This window comes from Homo sapiens, chromosome 3, assembly GCF_000001405.40.
Source record: "Homo sapiens chromosome 3, GRCh38.p14 Primary Assembly".
Classification (NCBI taxonomy): Eukaryota; Metazoa; Chordata; class Mammalia; order Primates; family Hominidae; genus Homo; species Homo sapiens.
In genome coordinates, this window is record NC_000003.12 from 134,477,378 (window position 1) to 134,492,373 (window position 14,996).

General features: G+C 42.4%; 2 protein-coding genes across 59 annotated transcripts in view, besides 4 other annotated features; one reads left to right on the forward strand and one right to left on the reverse strand.

Moving 5' to 3' along the window:
• Positions 1-326: 326 nt before the first annotated feature.
• Positions 327-8,646, reverse strand: ANAPC13 (anaphase promoting complex subunit 13). Of its 3 annotated transcripts, none has more exons than NM_001242374.1 (3): positions 7,943-8,646; positions 5,429-5,554; positions 327-1,338 (listed from the first exon to the last, which is right to left on the reverse strand). In NM_001242374.1, the coding sequence occupies exons 2-3, from the start codon at positions 5,525-5,527 to the stop codon at positions 1,213-1,215; spliced, it is 225 nt and encodes a 74-aa protein (NP_001229303.1). In that variant the 5' UTR covers positions 5,528-5,554; positions 7,943-8,646; the 3' UTR covers positions 327-1,212. The 3 variants fall into 3 exon arrangements, with proteins under 3 accessions (NP_001229303.1, NP_001229304.1, NP_056206.1); NM_001242375.1 differs by having other exon boundaries at positions 8,324-8,612; NM_015391.4 differs by having other exon boundaries at positions 329-1,338; positions 8,575-8,608.
• Positions 8,263-8,382: an enhancer, noted in NCBI's record as "active region_20562". NCBI's record gives its function as "activates an Ori minimal core promoter by ATAC-STARR-seq in GM12878 lymphoblastoid cells {active_cell/tissue: GM12878}" and the evidence as "EXISTENCE:reporter gene assay evidence [ECO:0000049][PMID:35858748]".
• CEP63 (centrosomal protein 63) overlaps positions 8,347-14,996 on the forward strand; it is a 296,836-nt gene continuing 290,186 nt past the window's right edge. For 14 of the 56 annotated variants that reach the window (XR_007095735.1, NM_001353117.2, NM_001353123.2 and 11 more), the window contains exon 1: positions 8,680-8,825. Coding sequence is in view for 8 of the 56 variants with exons in the window: in XM_024453768.2 (XP_024309536.1) it covers positions 9,343-9,350 (8 nt within the window). In the remaining 48 variants the exon portion in view is untranslated. 56 annotated transcript variants of the gene reach the window in all.
• Positions 8,413-8,512: an enhancer, noted in NCBI's record as "active region_20563". NCBI's record gives its function as "activates an Ori minimal core promoter by ATAC-STARR-seq in GM12878 lymphoblastoid cells {active_cell/tissue: GM12878}" and the evidence as "EXISTENCE:reporter gene assay evidence [ECO:0000049][PMID:35858748]".
• Positions 8,593-8,702: an enhancer, noted in NCBI's record as "active region_20564". NCBI's record gives its function as "activates an Ori minimal core promoter by ATAC-STARR-seq in GM12878 lymphoblastoid cells {active_cell/tissue: GM12878}" and the evidence as "EXISTENCE:reporter gene assay evidence [ECO:0000049][PMID:35858748]".
• Positions 8,794-9,612: an enhancer, noted in NCBI's record as "NANOG-H3K27ac-H3K4me1 hESC enhancer chr3:134205013-134205831 (GRCh37/hg19 assembly coordinates)". NCBI's record gives its function as "activates a minimal SCP1, AML or CMV promoter by ChIP-STARR-seq in primed H9 embryonic stem cells {active_cell/tissue: H9 hESC(primed)}" and the evidence as "EXISTENCE:reporter gene assay evidence [ECO:0000049][PMID:30033119]".

Here is a 14,996-nt window from a genome sequence, read left to right on the forward strand (position 1 = left end):
ATGTGAAAGAACTGTGGCGTTCTAGGTATTTTAATTTTTTGAAAAGCTTTTTCTCTTGTATAAGTTTTTTTAATATTGTAAGTCTCTTTTCTATTAGGTTGTCTTTCTTTGCTTACTGAAGGGACTGGTGCCTTGGGGTCTTTATTCTGAAGATAAAAGATTTCTAGGCAGAACTACTGATGCAAAGAGAAGAAATCAGCCTGGATGTATCTGGATTATAGGATAGCTGCTAAAATCATGTTTGTGATTGAAAACCTAAAATAAGCTAATTTGTTTTTTCATGTACCTCTTCCTCCTAAAAGCTAAGTAAACAAAAAGACCCAGCATAAAAAGGATGAGAAGAGATTTTAGTTATTCAGTGTTTTCAGAGTTTCAACAAGGGATACAGATACAAGCAGCTTCTTACAGAGTTTACAATCTGGGGAGAGAACATGAAAGACACTGTTTAACAGGCAAATAATTCCAGGAATAAATATACATGAATGTGTTTTTCAAAATACAGGTTCTTATACAAATGTATAACTAAATACTGATTCCATAGTGGGGTGGTTGTAACTGAAAGGGCTTTGAGAAAAGGCTTTGAATAAAACTAGTCATCCACCTAGCCAAAGATCCTTTCCAGCAGCACAAAAGGAATTTGTAAGGAGAACAGAGATTAACTGTCAGATATCTTTCTAATCTGTAAATTTATCCAAAGTTTGAAAATACCATGAAGAATCTTAGGAATGCCAGTAACCAGGGAATGGGATATTTGCATATCACAACATCTACAGGCTAAATACACTCCGAATGCTTCTCAATGTGGGGAAGTATGAGAAGTTAATAATTCTCCTAGTGTCTGGCTTCCTTTTTCTTTGCCTTTCCCTCTCATACGTTCAATCACCTGTGTTACAGGACACACATAAGTAGTTGGAAGGTGTTAAACTTTGACAGCAAAGCAAAATCAGAGGTAGAGGCAAATGTTTAACCAATCATGTTCAAATATAAGCTACTCAATGAAGAGTTTTAGGTTTAAAGAGCGAAATATTCACCATTACTGAGAAATCTCAGTTTCTCATTCAATTTCGCATTGCACTTTGCTACCACAAACTAAATGGGTGTACATTTTTGAGTGCTGATTTATTACTCAAAGGTTTGAATTTGGAGACTGAAACAAACCATGCTTTATCTGTGTACTTTGAGAAAATCCATCCACAAGAAAGGAGCCAAGCGTCAGTTTCCAATGGGGGGAACATTCTCATGGAGGTACTGTAAGGCTAAGTCTGTCCACTTCATTTCTTGTTCTTTGACAGATTCTGTGGTGCCACCATTGTCTTGTTCAGGTTCAGGAAGCTCATTCTGAAAAGGTACAATAGAAATTCAGAACAGTAATATATTCTGCATCTTCTTGGAACTCAAGAACACTTAGAATTAAAGCTTGTGAGTTCCTAGGAACAGGCAACATAATTGATATGTGTATTCTAAAAAAGCTAAAATCATACACGTGAGGAAACTATCAGAAGTATCATTCAAACATGGCCCGGGCCTTCTTCAGTAGGGAATGATGGGCATTTTGACTCTGACATTTGTGAAGGAGGCACTGTGGCAGAAAGGTTAAGGGCAGAGGCTTTTGGAAGCCAACTAGGATCCAAGACCACAACTCTCCCATTTGCTGGGTTACTTGGGCAAGGTATGCAAACCCTTGGGGCCTTTGTTTCTTCCTTGGCAAATGGGAGAACAAAAGAGCCATCACCTCACAGGACTACTGTAAGGATTAGGTGAGGTAATTCAGATCAAGTGCTGAGCACTCTGTGGGGTATCCAGTGCTCAAGGAATATTTGCTATTATTATTAGCGGCTAGGAACACTGAGATGAGTGAATCCTAAATCTTCTTTAGCGGGAGCGTGCTTTAAAAGAATACTAGTTTGCTGGCATATTCCTTAGACACAAGAAATGTATCCAAAAAATTATCTTGGACCCAACATGTCTTTTTTTTTTGAGATGGAGTTTTGCTTTTGTTGCCCAGGTTAGAGAGCAATGGCGTGATCTCGGCTCACCACAACCTCTGCCTCCCGGGTTCAAGCGATTCTCCCGCCTCAGCCTCCCGAGTAGCTGGGATTACAGGCATGCACCACCATGCCCGGCTAATTTTGTATTTTTTTATTTTTTTTTAGTAGAGATGGGGTTTCTCTATGTTGGTCAGGCTGGTCTCGAACTCCCAACCTCAGGTGATCCACCCGCCTCAGCCTCCCAAAGTGCTGGGATTACAGGCGCGAGCCACCGCGCCTGGCCCAACATGTCTATATTATAATAAAAATGGAGGTAGGGCAGGAAACACTGAAAATGTAATTAATAGATAAGACCTCCCTCTAGTGGTGGAGCAGAGCAACAAAAAACACAACAAATGACCAATTCACACCCTACCAGCAATTTTCTTAAAATGGTAAGTCATGGGCCACACTTACTGTAGGATCTGGGATCATTTACTTGTATTTTAAGTTTAAATGTATTACTACTGAAACTCTGCTTTGTACCAGAGTTCACAGATACCAATATATTTCTTTTCAATTATCTGTGTTTTGTTTTATGGTTAGCAAACTGTTATGCGATATCCAGACTTAAAATTTTCCACTGGATTCTAATTTGTAGTATGTGAATATGTTTTCCCCTCTAAAATTATGCTCAATATATATTAAATGATATTTACTTATCTATATTTGAATCACATACATCTTGTTCTACAAGACAGATTCAAACATACTTGAACAGATTGAGAAGAGCTATCATTTATTGTAACGCAATAATATATTATCTTAAACTTAAAAAGAAAGTTCAGTCCTAATAATTACTTATAGATGACAAAGAATAAATAGGTCCTTGGTTAATGAATTCTTTAATTCAGAAGCAGACAACGTTGCTTAATTTCATCCTATCTGTGGTATGCTTTCTAAAATAATGTGTCTTTCATTTGGTATCTACTGTCCCTTGCAATACATGCCAACACATAAAATGGCATATATGCCTGGAAAACAAAAACAAAAGTATCATAAACCCAGCCACCCATTATGGTGTACTGTAAAATGCCCTTAGTTCTTTGCAGCTACTCTTATCAAAAGGTGAAACTGATTTCCCCAATCTTGGATTTGGACTGGCCCTGTGAGTTGTTTTGGCCAACAGAATGAAGCTGTCATGCCAGTGGGCCAGTTCTTGGCCTAAGCTCCAAGAAGCTCTGCCGTTTCCTCTCAGGTTGCTCTTGGAACCCTGAGATTGAGAAGTCTGGGCTAGCCTGCTGGATACCAGAGACCATGGCATAGTCACCCCATCACCCAGCAGACAGCTTGTTAACTGCCAGACATGTGAGACAGTCCTAGATTACCCAGCCTCCAGAGTCTGTTGGCTGACTGCACAACACAGGCAAGCCTGGCAGGGATCAGCTGAGCTGGTGCAGACTAGAAGTCCCTCCCAGCTGAGCTACAAAATCATGAAATAAACAGTTGCTCTTTTAAGTCACTAAGCTTTGGGGTGACTTGTTATGCAGCAAAACCTAACTGGCATACACATTGCCTTAGAATCGCAAGACAAGCGAAAGGTGTGGATTAGCAGCAGGGCCAAGCCAACTTCGCCTGGAAGTCAGCAGGGAAACCTCCTTCCACCCCTGCCACCCAAATGTTCTCCAATCTGAGCCATAAACTTCTCCAGAAATGGACGTCTCCTTTATTTTCTTGACTTTGTTTAGGCCCTCCTCCCTTGCCTAGACCACAACAGCTTGCCAATTGGTCTCACTTGCCCCTATCTCCATGTCACACCATCTCTAACAATGCTGGCTAAACTGATTTTCCAAAAGCCAAATCTGAGCATAGCAGTCTTGCTTTTAAGACCATTCATTCCTGGATCTCCTGAGGATGAGGTCTAAGTGTGATATCAAATACCACTCTCAATCTGATCCAAGCCCAACTTTTCAGCCTACTTATGTGACAAATGTATTCTTCATCCACAGTGAATGACTCACCATGTCCCAAAGCCTTTCAAAACTCTGGGCCTTTACACATCTGTCCCCTCTGCTGCAATACCCTTGTCTACCTCCACTAAACTTCTGGTCCTTCCTTATGACCCAGCTTAAACATGACATTCTCTCAGAAGCCTTTCTGATGCCCACCAGGCAATCAGCCACTTCGTATATGATGTGGCTGTTTATGCCCCCACCTAGAATATTTATTATCACAATTACTTATCTATAAGTGTTGCCTTTCTAGACCCCTCAGGAGGAGGAACTGTATCTTATGTTCACATAGTCTTATGGCACACAGTAGGCTTCAAAAAATGCTTGTCAAATGAATGAATGAACAGAAGTTCACAAGACAGGATTTGGAACTTCACAGACCTAGGTATATGTTATATGAAGCCCTACTTACCTGCTACCAGACTTTGGGCAAGTTGCCCTTTCTGATCCTATTCTTTTCCTATAAAATGGGAATAACAGCACCTCCCTCACAGGGTTGTTTAAGAATTAGAGATAATGTATATTTCCAACCTCAGTCCATGGCATAAAACTGGTATTCAATAAATGACATCTATAATTCTTATTATGCTCTCTCTTTTGACTATTTTCCTAAGCTTGAACTAAGCTATGACTTATTTGATATGTATATTATTCATTGAACATATTACTATCTCTTATTCGTAAATGAAAATACAGATGAACTATTTTATTTCTTTGCAAACAGCAACAGCAGATATTCTAACTATAAATTATATTTTATTCAATACTAACTACTCTTCTCAGGGCAGCTGGCATGCTTTAAAGAAAAACAGTCCTGTTTTCCCTTTTTTAGGCCTCTATGACATAAATAGGATTTTAAACAAACATTTATATAAGCAAAACTTTTGGATCACTTATTACATGAGGTTTAACAAACTCCCTGCAGCAGAGTTTTCCAAAGATGGGGAAGAAAAGAGTATTCCAGAAGGCCACTGGCCTAAACGCAAAAGAATACCCAGGTATCTTCTGAATATTTTCCAGGGAACCTAAGATAGGTGTATGCTCCAAGAATGTAAGTTTCTAAAAATGCTGAAAGACTGATGAGCCACAGGCAGGGAAGTAAGAAACAGAGCTCATATGCTGCTGCTTCTTGTTCTTCCCCATCTTGCGCATTAAACTCTCATTATTTGGTTTCTCTGGTTTTCGTGTGGTGGACAGAACATGGCTCAGAAAATCGGGGCTCTAGTCCTGGCATGACTCCTAACTGACCTGGCCATGTTAGCTCCCTGAACCACATTTTTCTTCAAATAAAACATACAACTGGATGCTCTCCAGAAGCTTCTAGAGTTAGAGAATTCCACAGCTTTGATTTCTTTGCCACACTAGTTTATCTTCCATTGATATCCCTCCTCCACTAGTTACTGCCAGATCAATACCTTTAACCCATCCTCAGCTCAAATCATAACCTACCAGTGGTATTGCGACATCCTCATAAGGCAGCTTGTCTTCTCGCCAAGCATCATCAATCAAATCCAAGATCCTTCCATCTCTCTGAACCTCACTGTCCATTTTCCTGCAGCTTTGATCTTGTCAAATCTGTAAGCCAAAGAGGTTATTTCTTAAACACGAAGACTGAAGAGATGGTATAATCCACTATTAGGATTCTCCAGGCTTTTTAGTCTGGGGCCACCTTTTGGGAAAAGGTTCATTTTCTCATATGGGCCGGGTGACTACTTTGATCACAGTTCCTCTCTCCAACCCCAACTGATACATATTTTATAGTGTATACTGGACAGGCATAGCCCAGCTGACAGACCAGTGTCATAGAGTGTGACAGGAGAGCAACACGTTAAACGAGGCCCTCAAATATTAATATGTTGCATCTCAATGTAGCTCTTCTCTTCTAACTTGAACATTCACCTTTTCCTGTTTGTGATGCCTTTGATGAGTCCCTGATTCATAATGGCCAGCTAAGTTTCCTTTCTAGCCCCTGGCTCAAACCTCAGCATTCTTAGGCACAGGAGTCACACGAACATACTGTAAAGGAAACGGCTTCCTTCCCTAAAATAGTACCCAGGCTGAGATCTGAATAAAGCACTTCTAGGTGAACACCAGTGGTAGAACCTCATACTGCTAAAGTTTCTCCAGTTTCTGCTTCCCTTTGGGGTAGCTCCTTCCTCGGAGGTTCCTTCCTCTAATTCTTAACGCTACACTCCCTTCAATTTCTGGCCCAAATGGTCACGATGCTTATTTAGCTCCTTGACCATGGCTGATTCCCCATTTTTCTCTGAAACTGCTATAATCTAATCCAAAAGGCTGGCTAGCTTGTAGGATACTTCTGGATTTCCCTGTTTCCAAGGTTGGGCCCTGACTCATCATAGGCATCATCCTATGGGTGCTCCCTGCTACCAAGTGACAATCCAAAAAGCCCGGAAGCCACTGGCATCAAAGGTACTCTCAGTTTCTGAGACTATGGAGACTCACACAATAAGCAATTTTGGGGTGGTGGAGCGGGGTGGAACCCACCATCTGGAGGTGCTTTTTTCAGAGCTCAGCCTGGGTGATATTTTAAGGAAGGAAGCCATTTCCTTTACAAGCTCAACTTCAGACATCGTCTTGCCTTGAGGATTTGTGTCAGGTCTGTAGTTGGTCCCTTCGCATAGTCCAGTTTAGTGTTATCTCAGTATGTTCATGAGCTCCTGTGCCTAAGAACGCTGAGGTTTGGGCCAAGGCAGGTGGAAGTTTTTGTAAAAATGGCTCACAGGGCCGGGCGCGGTGGCTCGCGCCTGTAATCCAGCACTTTGGGAGACCGAGGTGGGCGGATCACGAGGTCAGGAGATCAACACCATCCTGGCTAACAGGGTGAAACCTCGTCTCTACTAAAAATACAAAAAATTAGCCGAGCATGGTGGCAGGCGCCTGTAGTCCCAGCTACTCGGGAGGCTGAGGCAGGAGAATGGCGTGAACCTGGGAGGCGGAGCTTGCAGTGAGCCGAGATAGCGCCACGCGCCACTGCACTCCAGCCTGGGCGACAGAGCAAGATTCCGTCTCGGAAAAAAAAAAACAAAAAAAACCAAAAAGGCTCACAGCTGTCCCCCATAGGATAACTGCAAGATATCCCTAACACCTTGGCAAAAATTATACACAGATTGGTGTGGGAAAGGGTTTACACCCCCATGACAAGGATCTCGGCAAAAGTTAAGCAAAATGCGCCCTGCTACTTCTGTCACCGGTGAGCCAGGTGAGGGCTTAATTAATCCAGTACTCAATAATTAACCGAGTACTACCCAGTGGATAACTCAAAGCAAGACGAAGTTTTGGTTATACTTTTGAAGTCCCTGTCTTACAAGTGCTCCCCACTTTCCTGCTGCTACTCCTTTGTCCTTGCTGCTCTGTCTCCTGGGATACCCTTCTCACTTTCCTCAGCTGATCCAAACCTGACTTTCGGAGGCCCACGTAGATTTTCCACCTTTGTAAAGTTTTCTCAAATCACTCGAGCTTCAGTAGGCCTTCTATCCTTGAACTCTTGCTTCTTGTCCTAACTTAATCTACTAAACAAGCTAGGTCAGCTTTGTGGTCAATTGCTCAGGTATTATTGCCTCCAACTGTTACGTGTACATTTTGTACCCATGATTCCTTAGTAGATCTTTCCACATTTGGTCTCAATCTTTTTCACCTGTCCCTTCTCCAAACACCTCCAACCCTGTCACATTTTCCAGCCTTGACAGTTAAAACCCCCTTTTCCACATCACTAATGCCACTCTTCCTTTCAAGATAAACGCAGGCGTCAGCTCTTGAAGGTCAACATCCCATTTCCGGGATTAGGCGCGAAGGTGCCTTCCCTCATAAGGGGCTGGAAGGATGGGAAGCATCAAGATAATCAATGCCCAGGGCACACTGATTATCTTGTGTATTAAAGCCACCGTCCCAAGTACTCGTCACCCAGTACGACCACTGTTTCCTGAACAAACTTTTCTTACTCACGTGACAGTCCCGATGCCTGCAATGCTCTTTGTTTCTTCCTTTTTATTCCAGTGAACCCACAGTCAGTCTAAAAATCTTAGGTCCCAGGTCGCTTCCTATAGGAGGCCGCCTCCAAACCCCAGGCTGAGTGCGGTCCCGGTACCCACCCCTCCAGGGGTCTCACAGTTCCCTAAGCACAGAGCATGGCACCAACTGGGGAGTCTGTCAAACAGCCCAGATGAATGTCTTTCCAAACACGCGGTGCCTGCGTTTCCAGGGACAGGGACACGTCTTATCAATTTCTATATATTACAGCTTTGTAAACATAATATTTATAAAATCAAAGCGGGAAAGCCTTGTTCCTTGCTAGAAATGAGCCTCGCAGGCCACCACCATCCGCACCGTACGACAGGCCGTCCCTCAGCTGCGGCTTCCTGCCTCAGGCAGGATGTACCAAACGTGGAAGCGGAGACGGGGAGGTCTGGGGGTGCCACGCAAGTCCCTTTCCTCCCGACACGAGTGCAGTAAAGAAAAACGGTTATGAGCGTAAAGTGACAGCCTCGGCCGATGGGAATAGGGGGAAGTCCGACACTGAGCAACGAACGCATTCCCGCGCCTCCAAAACCTAGGCCGGGGGCGCTGGAAACCCTTACCGGCACCCGGCCACCGCGGCAGACGCTTGCTCCTGCCACGCCCCCCCCCCCTCCCCCGCATCACGTGTCTGCACTCGCTTTCCTCGGATTCCCGGATGTGGGTGAGTTCATTTGCTCGCGTGCAGGGGAAGTCTGGAGAAGGCATTGTTTCAATTATTAAAAGTGTGGGGGCAGTGGGCGGAACAAACGCGCCGACTACAGAGGCTGGACGTAAGCTTAGCGGTGGCGCGCGTGCGCAGCGCCGGCCCGAGGTAACGGCGGGAAGGCTCAGGGGCGTGCTTGCGGCAACCCTGTAACCGCCGGTGCGCAAGTTGGAGGGGCAAGGGGCTGCCGTGTCCTGGTCTGGAGGCGGCCCAGGCTGCCTTGGTGATTCTGGCTTCGCGGCCTCATGGCTTGCGGCCGGTTTGCGCAACGGCCTGCGAACCACCAGGCGCGTCCCCGCCGGCTTGGGTCCGCCCCGAAGCCCAGTCCCTCGGCCTGGCCCGCTATGCCCTGCACACTGGCGGAGTCTGGCGTGGCGCAGCCCGGCGTGGGGTTCGGCCCCGCCAGGTGGTCAGCCCTTCCTCGGAGTCCAGGTGGCTGGGGGCGCTTCGGAGAGTGGCCAGGTGGGCGAGCGAGCTGCGCCCAGTACTCACCTTCCCCGGCGGACCCACCTTCCTTTTCAGCGGAGAGACCCCAGTGCGGCCTCCCTGCCAGGGCTGCTGTCTAGCTAGCGCTGTTGGGACTACTTCATTCACGGCACAAGGGGACCCGCTCATTTAGTGTGGCATGTTAAGGTTGGCAGCTTTTAAAATAGTGAGTTGGTTTAAACGGTTATGTTAGTACAAGAGGTACGGAAATGTGGCATAAATCGTGGACTGAAATTGGAGAACCCTGAACTAACGGCTCCATGCACACAAATGAGGGATAGAAAGAAATAAGGACGGTTTCTTAGGAACACTTTAATCATGGAGATACTTGAAGACAGTACATTTAGGCTTATAATGTGGTTTTTCTTACGTCCCTTACGACATCAGGAGAGTAAAGATGAGTATGATGTCAGAGACAGGTCGTCTTTTACAGTTTCAGCACCGTACGCTGATATGCACAGAGTAGTTTTCCCTGAGCCTTATGTCTGGTTAAACTTATTAAAAGAATTTATTATTTTAATAAAGCAGTATTGTAGGGTAGATGCCCTGTATTTATACAGTTCCTCAAGTGCTTGCATTTATTTTTTAGATACGAGGAAATCATAAGGATCGTTGATTAGATTTCTGTTAGCTGTAGCTTAATGATAAAGTGTATATATTTTCTTATTTGGCATGCAGTACCATTTTTAGATTGATTTTTATTTTGAGTTTGCTTTTTGACTGTGGCATTATCAGTGATCAGGGTAGTAAAAAGCTCTGAAACTAAATTAGAGTAGAGATTTATAAACAGGCACACTGCCTTTTAAAATGTATGTAGATGCAAATCTAAAAGTTGTTTGTAAAAATTGTGTATGTTGATTGTACTGATGCCATTTCCTCTCGTTAAAATGGTGGAAGACCTTTGCTTAGTCCTTTCTGTTCTAATTTATGTTGTGCTGGCAGATGGTGACAGCATCAGTAGTCCACTCTGTCATTGCTTCCTGCTTTCAAAAAATGTCAACTTGACTTGAAATTCAGCTAAAGCCAACATTGACAGAAGGTTTCAGGAACTGAATCTCCGATCTTTATGTTATTTTAGTCCGCCTCCCCGCCCCCATCAGGAGCTAGGTTTTTCAGTTTTACAGAGCCACAGTACTGTCATTACACATACACAAATTAATAAAAATTCTCTAATGTCAATATCCAGTCAGATAACGATTTCTTCAACTGTCTCTTAAATGTCTTTTTACAATTAGCTTGTTTGAACCAAAATCCCACAGGGATCTGCCTATTGTGTTTGGGTGATGCACATTTGACATCTTTTAATCTATATTTGTTCCCTCATAGTTATAGCTATGGGATTAGCCCCTATTTTTCCTTACAGTTCTAAATTTAGCAGATTGCATCGCACAGTATCCTTTAACATGTATCTCTGTTGCCTTTGTGTCCTCTAAACCAGGGGCCCCCAAACCCGGGGCCGCAGAGCAGTACCAGTCCGTGGCCTGTTAGGAACCAGGCTACAGAGCAGGAGGTGAGTGACAGGCTAGTGAGCATTACCTACCACCTGAGCTCTGCCTCCTGTCAGATCAGCCGTGAGGTTAGATTCTCCTAGGGGCACGAACCCTATTGTAAACTGCGCATGCAAGGAATCTAGGTTGCACACTTATAAGAATCTGACTAATGCCTGATGATCTGAGGTGGAATAGTTTCATCCTGAAACCATGCCCCTAACCCTGTCCATGTGTATTATTCATATTACTGAAGAAGTGGTTGGCCGGGCGCGGTGACTCACGCCTGTAATCCCAGCACTTTGGGAGGCCGAGGTGGGCATGAGGTCAGGAGTTTGAGACCAGTGTGGCCAACATAGTGAAACCCCGTCTCTACTGAAAATGCAATAAAATTAGCCGAGTGTGGTGGTGTGCGCCTGTAATCCCAGCTACTCGGGAGGCTGAGGCAGGAGAATCACGTGAATCCGGGAGGCGGAGGTTGCAGTGAGCCGAGATCACACCATTGCTCTCCAGACCAGGCAAGAGTGCAAGACTCGGTCTCAAAAAACAAAAAAAAGTGGTTTGGCCATTCCTCCCCCAAAACATTTCATATGAATTTTAACAAAAAGATATTTACAAAATGTGTTATTTCCGCCCTGTCGGTGTTGAGAAATTGTCTTCCATGAAACAGGTCCCTGGTGCCAAAAAGGTTGGGGACCACTGCTCTAAACCAGTAGTTAGATGTAGAATTGCACTGTCCGGTATTGTAGCCACCAGCCAGCAGTGGCTAGTTAATTAAAGTGAAATAAAATTAAAAATTCAGTTCCTAGGCTGGGCGCGGTGGCTCACGCCTGTAATCCCAGCACTTTGGGAGGCTGAGGTGGGTGGATCACGAGGTCAGGAGTTCGAGACCAGCCTGACCAACATGGTGAAACCCCGTCTCTACTAAAAATGAAAAATTAGCCGGGCGTGGTGGCATGCGCCTGTAATCTCAGCTACTAAGGAAGCTGAGGCAGGAGAAGGAGAATCGCTTGAACCCGGGAGGTGGAGGTTGCAGTGAGCCGAGATCACGCCACTGCACTCCAGCCTGGGTGACGGAGCGAGACTGTCTCAAAAAAAAAAAAAAAAAAAAAATTCAGTTCCTAACTTGCATTAGCCACATTTCAAGTGCTCGGTAGCTACAGATTGCCTGGTGGCTGCTTTTTGAACAGTGCAGTTATAAAATATTTTCATAATTGCAGAAAGTTGTATTGAACAGCACTGCTCTAGAAGCCTGATGAGATTTCACCCTTATATTTGTTTTTGTTTTGTTTTTTGGTGGGATAGTTGGGGGGGTTGGACAGATAATTTCATAGGTAATGCAGTATACTTCCTATTTCATTAATTATCAGGGAAGCAGTGTCTGAGTTGTTTTCTTTTTTTATGATGTTAACATTAAACATTATATTGGGTTTAGGTGTAGTTAGCTCCATCCACCCATAGTGAAATTCCCCAAGACTCTTTCACTTAGTGGTGAAGTCCTTTTGTGGGGTTATATTGCCTGTATCCGTTATTGCATTAGAGGTTGCAACGTGGTGATTATCTAATTCTATTATTTCTTCAATATTTATCAACTGAGAGTCTTTTATGAAGAACTTTCCCTTTCCAGCTGTTTGACTACCCTGAAATACAATTTGTACAGGAAAGGCAAGAAAAATGCTTAATTCTTTGCCTCTATTTTCAGACCACAGTAATGAGTTGGTGGCCTAGCAGCCTCCAAAGGTAACCATGAGGGTTTTTGCCTTTTTGTAAACCTATAATCATGAACTTATAGACTTTATATTTAAACTGTTTCAACATATGGCAGTTGTGTTTTTAATACTCAAATTGTTTCATCTTTGGCCAGTGGGAGCTCCTTAAAGTTGGCTCCTATTCCATTTGATATGACCAATAGCTTTGGTAATTTCCTTGCTTTCTGGTAAATAATTTTCCTGGCTCATTTATAGATTTCTGGTCTTCAAGGAGCCGTGGTTCTTTTGAGTCTGAGATAGTATTTGGAGACCACAGTCTTACCTAGGTGGGAGAGGTGTTCTTGCTACTAGGTTAGTCGTTAGTTCTAGGATTTATGGTGGCCAGAGTTAGGAAATATTATATATTAAAAAAAACACAAATATGCAAAATTCGCATTGTTTCCAACATTTAACATTTAAATTTCCAAAATTTAAACTTAATTTTACAGTTTTTTCACACGTTGGATTTATGTTTGTATCTTTTTTGCTGAGTCTTGGTGCCTAGTGCCATTAATAGAATTAGTTTTTTTTCCTCATCCTATGTTATATATAATGGTTTCAAGTTAACAGGCTATTTTATTATCAATATGATTCCTGAATAGTGCTTAGGATTTCTTTGCAACTGTCTTTTATCCTTATTTTATATGTCTCTAGGAAAGTGTATAGTAAAATTATTGTATTTAAAGGCATATGAAGTAATTTATTGTATAGTTAGCCTATCAAGTTGATATCTAGTTGGTAGTTGATTTATTTTATTTTGTTTCCAATTTTTCAGTACTGCTTTTTTCCCCATTTTGATTTGTTTTATTATATGCAAAACCTTAGCATAATTCCCATAAAACAAGTACCCATAAAACAATTTAGCTTTCATCTCTGTTTCTTCCACTCTGCTTATTTTCCTTCCTTACTGATACTGTTTTTACTAGTTTTGAGTCTATCCTTCCATTAAAAAAACACATACCTAAAAGCAAATCTACATGGACAAACATACCTTTCTTTCTTAGGTAAAATGTGCTATTATGTATACTGTTTTCCATCTTGGGTTTTTCACCTAGTGATATATGTCCTGTAGATCCCCTCCTTAGGAGTATGTAGAGATTGTTATTCCTTTTTACAGTTTCGTAGTACTCCATTGGTGGATGAATATTTAATTCGTCCCCTCTTGATAGACACTTGTGTTATTTTCTGCTATTACAAATAGTCATGCAGTGAATATCCCTGTGGATATGTTGTTTTGCATTTTTGCCAATGAGCCTGTGGGATAGATTCTTAAAAGTAGCGTTGTTGGATAAAAGGGTAAATGCATATATCAGTTGTTAGGTATTACCAAAGTCTCCTCTATAGCAGTTGTGTTCATTTTGCATTCCTACCTATTATGTATATGAGTGCCTGTTGTCCCACAGCCTTGTCATCAGAGTGTATTATCAAACATTTAATTTTTGGTTAATCTGGTACAGAAGAAAGGGTAACTTACTGTAGTTTTAATTTGTATTTCTCTTATGAGCAAGGTTGAACATCTTTTCATATTTTTACTGTCATTTGTATTTTTCTGTGCATTGCTTGTTTATACCTCTCGCCCATGTTTCTATAGATTTTTTGCCTAATCTTTTATAAGCTCCTTATATATTTGGGTAATTAACCGTTTGTGGTAAAACTTTCAGGTACTGTTGTCATTTGTCAGTTAACTTTGCTTATGGCACTTTTTCATATAAAAGTTTGTTTTTATGTACTCCTATTTCTCAGACTTTCTCATTGTTCTTCCTGGATTTTGAACTATAGTTTGGACAATTTTTTAAAAACTTTAATATTTTGAAAAGTTTCTCTAATACCTTATTTACTGGTATCAGTTTAATTAGGAGCCTTTCTGGAAAATGCTTAGTAATACTGATTGTTCATCGGAACAGCCATAGTTTACTGGCCATGGTATATCTGACACAATCATAGAGCTTTGTAATGAAAACGACACCAAGGCAGGTACAGGGACAGAGAGCATTGTTATCCTCCTTTAGACTTGAAGGTTAGGCATATCCCTTCTCTTAGTATGTACACATTTATTCATAATTCTGTCTGGAGTTTTTATTTTCTTCCTGTGTCCCATTTTGTGAATAATTTGGTCTTGGGCATATACTATGATATTTTTCCTGATCTGTAAAATGATAAAGTTAAATTAGAGGCCTGAAGTGCTTTCTAGCTCATAAAGTCTATGTTAATGAATTTCAAAGATTTGCCTATTATAAGACATTCTATTTGTATTCTTTTTTTTTTTTTTTTTTTTTGAGACGGAGTTTTGCTCTGTCGCCCAGGCTGGAGTGCAGTGGCGCGATCTTGACTCACTGCAAGCTCCGCCTCCCGGGTTCACGCCATTCTCCTGCCTCAGCCTCCCGTGTAGCTGGGACTACAGGCGCGCGCCACCATGCCCGGCTAATTTTTGTATTTTTAGTAGAGACGGGGTTTCACCGTGTTAGCCAGGATGGTCTAATTTTATGTAATTATATGGCACATGCAAAGAAGAAATCAAAGTGACATAGTGCATAGAGTTGAATGATGGTCAGGTTGGT